Source organism: Homo sapiens, chromosome 17 (genome assembly GCF_000001405.40).
Source record: "Homo sapiens chromosome 17, GRCh38.p14 Primary Assembly".
Lineage (NCBI taxonomy): Eukaryota > Metazoa > Chordata > Mammalia > Primates > Hominidae > Homo > Homo sapiens.
The window spans coordinates 3,801,885-3,814,264 of record NC_000017.11 but is presented as its reverse complement, the minus strand read 5'-3'; the positions used below and the strand labels follow the sequence as shown (position 1 = coordinate 3,814,264).

General features: G+C 47.2%; 1 protein-coding gene across 3 annotated transcripts in view, besides 1 other annotated feature; it reads left to right on the top strand.

Annotated features, from left to right (window-relative positions):
• NCBP3 (nuclear cap binding subunit 3) overlaps nucleotides 1-12,107 on the top strand; it is a 44,089-nt gene extending 31,982 nt beyond the window's left edge. Inside the window, exons 13-15 of one of the 3 annotated variants that reach the window (XR_007065313.1) lie at nucleotides 986-1,148; nucleotides 1,611-1,771; nucleotides 11,784-12,107. Coding sequence is in view for 2 of the 3 variants with exons in the window: in NM_001398494.1 (NP_001385423.1) it covers nucleotides 986-1,148; nucleotides 1,611-1,719 (272 nt within the window). In the remaining variant the exon portion in view is untranslated. Of the gene's footprint in view, nucleotides 1-985 lie in introns of all 3 variants that reach the window. The other 2 variants (NM_001398494.1, NM_001114118.3) reach the window with 2 other exon arrangements.
• Nucleotides 870-1,375: an enhancer, noted in NCBI's record as "H3K27ac-H3K4me1 hESC enhancer chr17:3716184-3716689 (GRCh37/hg19 assembly coordinates)". NCBI's record gives its function as "activates a minimal SCP1, AML or CMV promoter by ChIP-STARR-seq in primed H9 embryonic stem cells {active_cell/tissue: H9 hESC(primed)}" and the evidence as "EXISTENCE:reporter gene assay evidence [ECO:0000049][PMID:30033119]".
• Nucleotides 12,108-12,380: the final 273 nt, after the last annotated feature.

The window sequence follows — 12,380 nt, the reverse complement described above, 5'->3', positions numbered from 1 at the left end:
GTGTATTGGAGAAATACTTTCTTAGCAGAAGGCAAGAAACAGCCCACGCCAAATATAAGTGATTATTCCTTTTCCATTATAGTTATCGTCAGCATCAGCATCAGCATCATCCCAACAGTTAGGAACGCTTAGAAAATAGAAAAAAATAGCACACTCCTGGCTCTTTCTGTTTGGCACAAATCTTTTTAGTTTCATGTGAGCTATTCTGGTCTTTGCCCACATACAAATCCTAGTTTTTTCATACAGCATTTTATCGTAGTTGTTTGCCACATTTTATAATCTTTATAAATAAAACTTTTAGGCCAGGCATAGCGGCTCAACACCTGTAATCCCAGCAATTTGGGAGGCCGAGACGGGGGGATCACTTGAGGTCAGGAGTTCGAGACCAGCCTAACCAACATGGTGAAACCCTGTCTCTACTAAAAACACAAAAATGAGCCGGGCGTGGTGGTGGGCGCCTGCACCACTGCACTTCAGCCTGGGCAACAGCAAGACCTTGTCTCAAAAACAAAAACAAAAACAACTTTGAATTGCCTTATAATGTGGCCGTCTACAAAATTCTAAACACGTATTTCTCTATTGTTAAATTTTCATAAAATATATTTCAAAAATTAATGGAAGGGATCTGGGAGTGGCCTACTTCTGGCAGAATGGATTGGCACACAGGGTGGTGTCTCAGCAGGGAAGGGCAGGAGTAGGAGGAAACGGCCTCTCAGGTGATTCTGATGTGTCTGGTGACAGGGAGGGACCTGACCTGTCCCCCCACGGTGAGAATCCCGTGCTGGGTCCAGACCCTTCCGTTTGCGGGCAGGGGCTGCGGCCCGGGAAATGAGATTTTGCCTGCCCAAGGCTGCACTGTGGTGGCAGGCTCCACAGACTGCTGGCGTTTCCTGCACAGCAGGTGTTGGCAGTGCTGCTGCCCCCTCAGTGCTACCCTGGTTCTTAGCGCTGACTGCGAAAGTGAAATGCCATCTCATCCAAACAGGTAATTTATGGACTCGCCTAGGATCTGCACCCAAGACCAAAGAAAAGAATACGAAGAAAGTGGATCACAGGGCGCCTGGCGCTGAGGAAGACGACTCTGAGCTGCAAAGGGCATGGGGGGCTCTGATTAAGGAGAAAGAGCAGTCTCGCCAAAAGAAGAGCCGGTTAGATAACTTACCATCTCTCCAGATTGAAGTTAGTCGGGAAAGCAGCTCTGGTTCAGAGGCAGAGTCCTGATGCCCCTGGGGCCTATGGCAGCTGCCCTAAAGCCTGACATTCTTGCACAGGGTGGGGCGCGCAGTAGGAACCTCCCCCGCAGGAGCTGGCGCCCTCTCGCTCCTGCTCACACAGTCACCCTCCGCTCTTGCTACTTCGGCAAGACATCTTAAGAATGTGACACATTTTCAAGGGCATCTCTATCTTTCGCTGCAGAGTTGTAGTTCTGGGCCCTCGATTCCTTTCCCACCACCCCACAGGCTTTACCCTTTGAGAAAAAGGCAGCCCTCCAGATTTTGTAGACATTTTTCTTAATATTTTTAACATTGTGTCTTTTAAAAGAAATGTTTTACACAGTTCATCCAAAGAGCAGAGAACTGAACTTCTCACTATTGCCTTGGCCCTGACAGCTGTTACCAGCACCCTTTTCCCAAGAAAAGTCAATTCCCAGGTGCTTATTGGACATCCTTCGAGGGGGAAGAGGAGGGAAGCGGCCAGCTCACCCTTCCGGGACCCTAGTGTGGGGCGAATCTCACGGACCTGACCTCAGAGGTGCACCAGTGCCGCCCAGGTAGATAAGAGCTGCAGCATTGACTGTGCTTCCGTTCTTCCCTCGGGGATTGCTCATGGCATGGGCCTCTTACGTGCTGTCAGCTTGATGTGAAGATCAAGTTCAGTGCTGTGGGATTTTTAGGAACAAAAAACTGTGACGTCTGGATTTGGGGTTGATTTTTGTGCTGGGGTGGGATTATGGGTCAATGTTGAAGAATTTTTAAGTCTGTATTATGTTTAAAACATGAATGATTTGAAAGTTTAAATTTTTAATTTTTATATGTGGAAATTCTTCCTGTTGGCTAAAGGGGAAGCTCAAGTGGTGTCGTCTTTTGTGCTGTTAAATATATATTCTATTCTTTGGAAGAAGGCAGAGAGAGGAGTCTTATTATTTTTAAATGCTCCTAGTTGTATAGTCTGTCTGTTGTACATAGAGTTCAGCTTGTTTTTTGGCTCCAGTAGGAAAAAAAATCCATCCATCTGAGATGGGGTCCTGTTGTTTATTATCACTCTAGAAGTTATACATTGATATTTATTCTTTCTGTCCCCACGTTGTGGCACCTGAAGACATCTTCAAAATTGGCAGAAAAGATAATAGTTATAAAAATTTTAGTTCATTTATTTTTAAACTCCTTTCAGATTATTTTACCATTAGGAGGAGGTAGATTGTTTCGTCTTCCTGTCTGATTTTTGTTTTGTAGTATTTAATTTTGTATTCCTCTGCAGTTTTAAGAAACAGTGTTTTTCTTCGGTTTGCTGGAACATGGGCGTTAGAGATGGTAATAAACCGTGGTCCTTTTTGCGATGTCACGACTCTTCACCTGCCTGGGCTGTTGTGCACACAGTGCAGCCTGGATCCTGTCGATCTTTACTTGTGGCGGAGCTAATGGTCACATTGATAGTTGATTACACTGTGGCACGAATTAATGCAGAACACTGTTATTAATAAAGGAAGTAAAGGGCTGCAAGATTTGAGAGCTGCAACAAAAACTGTATTGTCCCATATTTTGTTGATTAACCTTGCTTTTTCTCCCTCCCTTTAGAGAGATTAGAGGATATAACCATGATATATTTCAGCTTCTTATTAGGATTCTAGGAAAGAGATGGTTCTGGTTTCTCTGCCAGTTGAGACTTAAGACATCTGAGATTTCTCAGCTTTTCTTTCCCTGTGAAGCATACAGCTGAGAGCCAGGTTCTTAGGAAGGGTCAGGGTTTGGGGAGTTGGTAGAGTGAGGAGTGCGGGGGCCTGAGAATCGGACACCTGGATGCCAACCCCTGGCTCTGCTCCATGGACCTGGGCCTCAGTTTTCCCGTCTAGCAGTTGAGTGGGCTGTTACCAGAATTCCTGGCTTTGTTGGTGCATCTCAGTGGCGGTTTACTCTTCCCAAGCTGTGACGGCAGTGGGCTCGCCAGCATGAATTTCTACTGCAGGTGGAGGAGGCGCCAGGGAGACAACTGAGGGCGCGCATGAGGTGTAGACAGGGGCTTATTCCCATCCCAGCACAGTCTCTGCTTCTACTGACGGGGCAAAGATGTCTTGTGGTCAGCGTCCCAGCTGGCATGCCTCTGCAGGGTTTAGAATATGCTCCTTCACAGACTTTCCTTTTGGTTTTACACCAGCAGCTCAGGTCCATTTGTTCCACGGCCTTTCAGCACTCAGCAGTCTCCTGCTACAGATCAGCGAAGCCATTCTGGAAGGAGGTGGTGTGCAGTCAAAACTGGGTCTTTGATGTAACCAAGAGAAATACACACTCGAGTAACCTTACAGTTTTCACAGACACACAGAGAGAACCCAGAAAGGCAGCTTTAAAGATTTTTACTTCTCGGAGTTACTGGCCTTATTAGTTTCTCTAACCCTCCTGCCCACTCTCAGTCACTCAGATCTTGCAACATCTTGAGTGTGTCCTGAATGATGAGGCCTTTTCTTTGGAGTTTAAGAGTAAGAATGGATAGTCAGGACAGGCCCGTGGCAGGCAGCTGGGCGTGATTTTACCCTGGACACTCCCCACACATGTGGGCACAGGGCTGCACACTTTGTGTGTTCCTCTTAGTCTTATGTGTAGGAGATTTTACATACATGTTTGCTGCTTGATGATAATTGCAGATACCTCATTTGTTTCCCACTCTCCTCTCTGGAGAGTTACCAGGTACCCAGGATAATTTGTGGCGTCCTCAGGATGTAGTCTCCTCCTCTGGCCCCCTTGTAGTCTGATCCTGTGAACCCCTCTCCGTTCTTCAGCCACTGCCCTTTCCAGCTGCATTTGTACAGCAGCCTCTTCACTGGTCTCTGCCCTGTCTCCATTCTGCACACTGCAGCGGGATGAACCTTTGTTGTTGTTACCAGCTTAATTTAGATGTAATTTGCATACAGTTCAGCCATTTAAAGTGTACACTTGAGTGGCTTTTAGTATATTTACAGTTATGCACCAGCACCGTAATCAATTTTAAAACACTTTGATCACCCAAAGAAACCCTGAGTCCATTAGCAATTCTCCCTATTCCCTCTTCCCTCTTAGCCTCTGGCCACCACTGATCTTCCTTCTCTCTCTGTGGATTTGCCTGTTCTGGATAGTTCATATAAATGGGATCATATACTATGTGTCTATTTGTGACTGGCTTCTTAACATATTTCTGAGGTTCATCCATGTCATAGCTTCTATCAGTATTTCATTTTTTAAAATTGCCAAATAATAGTCCATTTTATGGGTATGCCACCTTTTTTTTAATCCACATTGGTTAATGGGCATTTGAGTTGTTTCTACTTTAGGGCTATATATATATATTTCTATTTCTATTATTTATTTTTGAGACACAGTTTCGCTCTTGTTGTGCAGGCTGGAGTGCAATGGCACGATCTCGGCCCACTGCAACCTCCACCTCCGGGGTTCAAGCGATTCTCCTGCCTCAGCCTCCAGAGTAGCTGGGATTACAGGCATGTGCCACCACGCTGGCTAATTTTTTGTATTTTTAGTAGAGACAGGGTTTCACCATGTTGGTCAGGCTGGTCTCGAACTCCTGACCTCAGGTGATCTGCCCACCTCTTCCTCCCAAAGTTCTGGGATTACAGGTGTGAGCCACTGCACCTGGCCCTACTTTTTGGCTATTATGAATAGTGTTGCTACGAACATTCCCGAACAAGTTTTTGCAGGGACAGGTATTTTCATGACTCTTGGGTATATACCTAGGAGTGGAATTGCTGAGTCATAATTATCTTTAACCTTTTCAGGAACCACCAGGTGGTTTTTCCAAGCAGCTGTATCATTTTCCATTCCACCAGCAGTGTGCGAGGGTTCCAGTTTCTCCACATCTCCACCAACACTCATTATTTTCTGGTGTGAAGTGGTATCTCATTGTAGTTTTTTGTTTTTATTTTTTCTTTTTAAAATACATTTTGTACAGATGGGGTTTCGTTATGTTGCCCAGGCCGTCTAGCACTCCTGGCCTCAAGTGATCCTCCTGCCTTGACCTCCCAAAGTGCCGAGATTACAGGCATGAGCCACCACGCCTGGCTCTCATTGTGGTTTTGATTTGTATTTCCCTAATGACTAATGATGTCGGGCACCTTTTCACATGCTTCAGGATGAACTTTCTTAAATATATATCTGATTCTGTTATTCCTCTGCTTGAACGTTTTCCAAAGCTTCACTATTGCCCCGAGAATAAATTCCACACTCCTGATCGCATGAGCCCAGTAATTCAAGGCTGTGGTGAGCTATGATCAAGCCACTGCACTCCAGCCTGGGCAGCAGAGCAAGACCTGTCTCAAAAAATACATACATACATAAATTCCACCCTTTTTGATAGCATGTTATGAGGCTCACCAAGGTCTATCCTCTGGCAGTATCCCTGGCCTGTTCTCCCCATCTCCCCTGCCCTCTGCTCACCAGTTCCCTAAATGTATCTTGATCTCACTAGCCCTACAGACTGTGCACAGAGCTGTTTCTACCTCCAGTGACATGCTTCCGCCCAGGCTTCTCCCCCTCCCGCCTCAATCTTCCCCTCACCAACTTAAGGTCTTAGGGGCCCTTCTAGGAGGCAGTCCCCAACTTCCAGAGCCAGGGTATAGGCTACTTCTATGTGTCCCATGGTACTGCCACAGAAGAGTCTCAGCTCTCTCCAGGATTCAGTTCTAAGGTCAGTGCCTAAGATAAAAATGGAGTGTAATTAAAATTCCTCTTAGAAATCTAAGGAAGGTGCCCTATTGAAGACCAACATCTTGAGGTCCCATGTAGTCATTTCTTGCCCATGTGGGAACACATTACTGTTTGGTTGAGTACCAGGTGAAGTGATTGGCCTGCAGTTAGGGCTGTGTTGTGCAAAAATCACTTGTTTTGGGGTGTTAGAACCACATTTAGGCGAGAAGATCACTTTTGGGGAGCTTGGGAACTGAGGCAGGCCGCAGGTGCAGCAGAGGCATGAGCTTGCCCGGGCCCGCCCTCTTGTCTATGCTCATGGAGTGAAGGAGGGGCCAGCGGAATGGCCCAAACAACTGATTTGTTTTTCTTTTTTTAAATCTTTTTCAGACAAATACCATTGTGTTTAAGCGAAATGTGTGTATAATGCCAAATCACTGTACCCCACAACCCTGCACACCTCTACACTGGACTGTAATTTCTTGTTCCTAGTTTGTCTTGCTAGACTGTAAGCTCCGTGAGAGCAGGGACCGTGTCTGCTTGTTGAGTGGGCTTTCCCCTGTGCCTGCCAGCATGCCTGGCATCTAGCAGGTCTTCTGTAAAGATGGGATGAGTTTGTAAACCCTCCAGCCTCAGGAGTGGCTCCATCCTCTGAGGCTCTGGGGCCCTCTGGCAGGCTAGTCATTTTTCTGCCATGTACGTACAATGCTTTATTTTCATGTTGTATTTTCCTTTCTAGCCAGTAAGCAAGCTCCTAATGAGCAAGTTTCTTTGTGGTGTTATCTCTGTATCCTTTCATCAGGCCAGCCCAGAGTAAGTAGTGCTTCGAAAGTGTTTGGTAAATGAATGAATTATGGTAACCCAGCCCAGTTCTGGCATCACTGTCTGCAGGTTAGTCTAATTCCAGATGAAAGCCCCAGATTCGAAAAAGGGAAGATTATTCAGAAGTGCATATGGTTGTATAAGAAAAAAAAATCTCATTAAATAGACCTGAGTAAACTTCAAATTTTGATGATCTGGCCATGTCGGAGCTGAAGCTTACCAGCTCTCTAAAGCATTTGCTAGGGAATCATGCAGATGGTCCAAAATATTTTTTAGAAAAGCATTCATCTGTCCCGGGATAGAAGTAGAGGAAGCTGGTAGGCAGGCGCTAGACCCTAAAGAAGGACTGCTGAGCCAGTTCTTAAGCCTGTGGTCCTGTCGGTGAGGAAAGTGAGAGCAGTCCAGAGCAGGTGAAAAGAGCAGAGCTCATTCCTCCAGTGGCTCTTTTGCCTAAAGCAGCATTCCTCAAACTTCTCACTCGAAGCATTAAGTTACGGTGAGATGCTAACACACGCTTTAGACTTAAGTCAAAATTTACTGTGAAGCCACAGCAAACCATGGCTTCACAGATGAATTAGTTGCTACACAAATAAGTTCGATACATAAGTACAGTAATTGCTTTTAAACCTTATAATAAGCAGTAAATTAGAAGTTAAACCATGTTTTTCTTTTACGAACTGAAAGAAGAGAATGCTTTTGATACTGAGAATCGCACACTGTGTCCAGGAAGATTGTTCTTGCATAACCAGACCCACAATAAATATCTACAACTTTTCTTACATGTTTATAAAATAAATCTTAGAAGAAAAATATTGTAGCTTTTTTTTTTTTTTTTTTTTCAATGAAGCTCTATGAACATTTCACAGAACTTTGTTCCTGGGAGTAGTTAGGGAAATGCTGCTTCAAAAAGCCAATTTTAAGTAGTTGTGAGGCATCCGAGTGGAATTTGGCTGCACTATCCATAAAACTTGAGAGTATAGGCGGTATTTCACCTACCAAGGTCAGTACCCTGCCTCAGGATTCTTACTGTTCATTTGAGCAATTCCGGGGCCCTCTCTGGATGACCAGGTTCGTAAATAGTTGAGACTTTGTGTTATCTCAAATTGTCACCATCACCTCTGGGCCAATATAGGTTAGTGAGGTCGAGAGGCCCACACCATTGACAGAAGAGAATTCTCAGGCCGGGCTTGGTGGCTCACGCCTGTAATCCCAGCACTTTGGGAGGCCGAGGCGGGTGGATCACCTGAGGTCAGGAGTTCAAGAGCAGCCTGGCCAACATGTTGGAACCCCGTCTCTACTAGAAATACAAAAATTAGCTGGGCGTGGTGGTGGGTACCTGTAGTCCCAGCTACTTGGGAGGCTGAGACAGGAGAATTACTTGAACCCGGGAGGCAGAGGTTGCAGTGAGGTGAGATCGCGCCACTGCGCTCCAGCCTGGGCGACAGAGCGAGACTCCGTCTCAAAAAAAAAAGAAAGGATTCTCACCTTCCTGTCCCTTCCTAGGAGTTTTGTGGTAGTGTTCGATCCTGTGATGTGGCCATCTTCTCCTCAGGGCCTGTGAGAGGCAGGCAGCATCTTTAGCTGAGGTAGAATGCCTGTTGGGGAAAGTCAAATAGGATGGTGGCTGGGGCCGGGGCTCTGGGGACTCCTTCTGCCCCACATACTCAATTGGAAAGACTGAGCAAGTCCCCTCACCTCCCTGGGCCTCAGCTTCCCTGTCTGTCAAATGGAGGGCTCAACTGGGGTGAGCTCCAGTTTCCTTCTAGTGCTAACGCGTGTTCAAGGATCCTTGCTCTCCTTTCCGGGGAGCATCAGGGGTGTGGGCTAGATAGCAGGAAAGAAGTAGGGGTTTGTAAACAAGAGATCCAAGCCCCTGGACCCTTGGTCCCAGCACCCAGTGCAGCCCTCGCCCTCCCAGCCCCTTCCTTAGAAAGGACAAGAAAATCCACTCCTTGTTCTCTCCCTGTCCCATCACCCCCGCAGTCCCCCACAGATCTGAGGCCGGAGGATGCCAACATGGTGAGCACCCTCTTGCTGTCTTATTCACGTAGGCTTTTCTTGGTGCCTGCACATGGCTCTTGTAAGGCCACCAATCTTGCTGGATTATGACCTCATCTAACCTTAATTACTTCCTAAAAGCCATATGTCCAAGAAGAGCCACATTGGGGGTTAGGGCTTCAACATATGAATTTGGAGGACATTTACAGTTCAGTCCACAGCACCTGGTCATGTGGAGATCCCAGTCTGCATTTGTGGGATGAAATCTCTGCTTTTTTAAAGTTTACACACCACCTAGCTGGGCACGTGGCTCACACCTGTAGTCTCAGCACTTTGGGAGGCCGAGGCGGGGATCACCTGATGTCAGGAGTTCGAGACCAGCCTGGCCAACATGGTGAAACCCCGTCTCTACTAAAAATACAAAAATTAGCCGGGTGTGGTGGCGGGCACCTGTAGTCCCAGCTACTCGGGAGGCTGAGGCAGGAGAATCGCTTGAACCCAGGAGGCAGAGGTTGCAGTAAGCTGAGATTGTGCCACTGCACTCCAGTCTGGATGAAAGAGCAAGACTCCATCTCAAAAACAAAAATAAAAAAAGTCTACACACCAAAAGAGCTGAAGGCAGGAGAGTTTGTGGTGGTTCAGAGTCCTGATTCTGGAGGAAACAGGCCTGTTTGGAGTCCCAGCTCTGCTCCTTACTAGCTATGTGGCCTCTCAGAGGCAGCATCCTTATCTGAGAAATCGGGTTGACCTTGTAGGTGGCTGAGAGGCTCAGATGAGGGCTCGCATGTGAGGCCTTGGCACTGAGCAGGGCACTCCTACCGAGTGTTCAAAGGTCGTGAGTACCACTGCTCTGCAGCCCTGGGCTCTGGTCTCAGCAATGCCGTCACTCTTTCTGGCTTCCTAAGAGTCAGAAGGCAAGTGGGAGAATAGAACCATTTCCTGTGTCTGAAGGCTGTGCCTCAGTGCTTTTGACTCACTCTGAAGACAGCAGGCAGCCCTTTCTGTTTTTTTTGGAGATGAAGTCTTGCTCTTGTCGCCCAGGCTGGAGTGCAATGGCGCAGTCTCGGCTCACTGCACCCTCCGCCTCCCAGGTTCAAGCAATTCTCCCACCATAGCCTCCCGAAGCTGGGGCTACAGGCACACGCTGCCACGCCTGGCTAATTTTTTGTGTTTTTAGTAAAGACAGGGTTTCACCATGTTGCCCAGGCTGGTCTCAAACTCCTGAACTCAGGCGATCCGCCTACCTCGGCTTCCCAAAGTGCTGGGATTACAGGTGTCAGCTACCACGCCCGACCCACAGGCAGCCCTTTCACCTCACGCCGAGCACGTCTCCTCCATCCATGAACATTTTGCAACTTTTTTTTAAAGAGACAGGTTCATACTATGTTGTCTAGATTGGACTCAAACTCCTGGGCTCAAGCTTTCCCAAGTAGCTTGAACCTCTTAAGTAACTGTGACTACAAGTGCACCTGGCCACTTTTTCTGAGACGGAGTCTCGCTCTGTCACCCAAGTGGAGTGCAGTGGCATGATCTCCGCCCACTGCGAGCTCCGCCTCCTGGGTTCACGCCATTCTCCTGCCTCACCCTCCTGAGTAGCTGGGACTACAGGCACCCGCCACCACGCCTGGCTAATTTTTTTTGTATTTTTAGTAGAGACCGGGTTTCACCGTGTTAGCCAGGATGGTCTCGATCTCCTGACTTTGTGATCCGCCCGCCTCGGCCTCCCAAAGTGCTGGGATTACAGGCGTGAGCCACCGCGCCTGGCCCACCTGCCCATTTTTTAAAAACTTTATTCTTCCTGGTATCAAGGGGAGAAAGAAAAAAATTTTTTAAAATATTTAAAACTTTATTTTGAAATAATTTCAAAATCACAGCAGTTTGAAGGGTACAACAAAGAACATTTTGCCACATTTTCTCTTTCATTCGTTCCCTCCTCTTCTCCCTCACCCCTGTTTCTTCCTATCCTCTCTGAACCATGAACCATTTGAGGATTATTTGTATACATCATGCTCGTTTATCCGTAAGATGTTTTAGTGAACATTTCCCAAGAACAGGGACAGCCTCTCACATGCCCATGGTACAGTTCTCAAATTCAGGAAATGTGTAATATTCTCTGATCAGCCCAGGAGTTGCTAATTTGTAGTTCCTGTTTCAAATTTGCCAACTGTCCCAATAATGATTTTGAAAGCCGTTGTTTTTCTGGTCCAGGATCCAATCCAGGATCAAGCGCTGCCTTTAGTTGTCCTCTCTGCAGCCTCCTTTCGTTTGGAGCAGGTCCTCAGCCTTTCTGTCTTTCATGACATTGATGTTTGTGAAGAGTACAGTCCAGTTTCTGTTGTAGAACGTCCTTGAAGTTGGTCCCGGAATATTTGTTTAAAGTGAGTTGGGAAACCACATTCACATGTCTTTTGGTTATGTGTGTATTTGTCAAACAGCCAGCCTTGTGCTGCGTGCTGTGATGGGGAGCATTACTCAACAGAGCCTGGCCCTGACCTTGGGGATGTAGTTTGGGTTTGTGGGGAAAGCAGCTACCGCCAGGTGGGCTTTACGGACCCCTGTGTGTCTCATGACTAGAGGCACTGACGCTTGGATAAATACATACTGGATGGATGCAGGATGAGTCCGCATTCTAGAAGTGTGCAGAGGTACAGAAGTGGCCCTGCTCCCTGTCCAGCACCCAGTCATCAGCTTTCCCTGGCTTCCCGAGGCACCCTGACGTTCACACTCCAAACACAAAGTCTTCTCTCAGGAATCTCGAGTGAGCTGCAGTCTGGGTTCTAGCCCTGCCCTAGCAGGGATCTGCTCAGTGACTGGGCTGCTCTCTTCCTGCTTTAGGCCAATGCGGGGGAGAGGAGACCACTGTGACTCTCCCCAGTGCCCTTGGAGCGCAGAATGAAGTGAGGGGAGGAGGAGGGTCACGAGCCCTGGAGCGCTGGGAAGACAGGCTGTAGGCCGCAGGCCCCGATCCTGCCTGGGACGAGGTTCAACAGAAGTAGGATGGTTTCATCATGACCTGGCAGGAAAACCACCAGACCTGGAATTTTGCTTTTACAACTGTTTAACTTCTGTTTCATACAGGATGGAAACCGGTGAATTGTAATCTCACATAACCGAGCAAGATCTAGTAGTCATAAGCACTTTGTCAGAGCAAAGCAGACAAGGCAAAGTGTTGGAAATGTCATCGGATCTTCACAGAACCTTAGCCAAGCAGCCTTTCAATGCGAGAAACAAAATAACATGGATTTTTATCTAGTAATGAAGTCAACACCATTGTCCACCCTGGGTTAACACATTCACATCTCAAAGCGAATGGGGCTGCAGACACTCGTGTTAGAGAGCCTTGGAATGTCCTGCCTTTTTACGTTTAATTAAAATTAAATAAAATATACAAAATTCAGTTCATCAGTTGTTCTAGTGGCATTTTAAGGGTTTAGTACCATATGTGGCTCATGAGTACCATCCTGGACAGCGTCGACCTAGAGCAGTTCCATCCCCGCGCAGAGTTCTGTTTGACGGCGCCACTCTGCACTTCCAGCAGCCTGGGGAGCAGGGGTGCAGGAGAGTTCCTTCTGTGTCACAGACTTGGTCACACAGTACAGATCTCAGATCAGCACTTAAACACGACTGCCAGCTGTCAACGGCGTGTTCTGTGGAATGCTGGGATGCATCACAGGT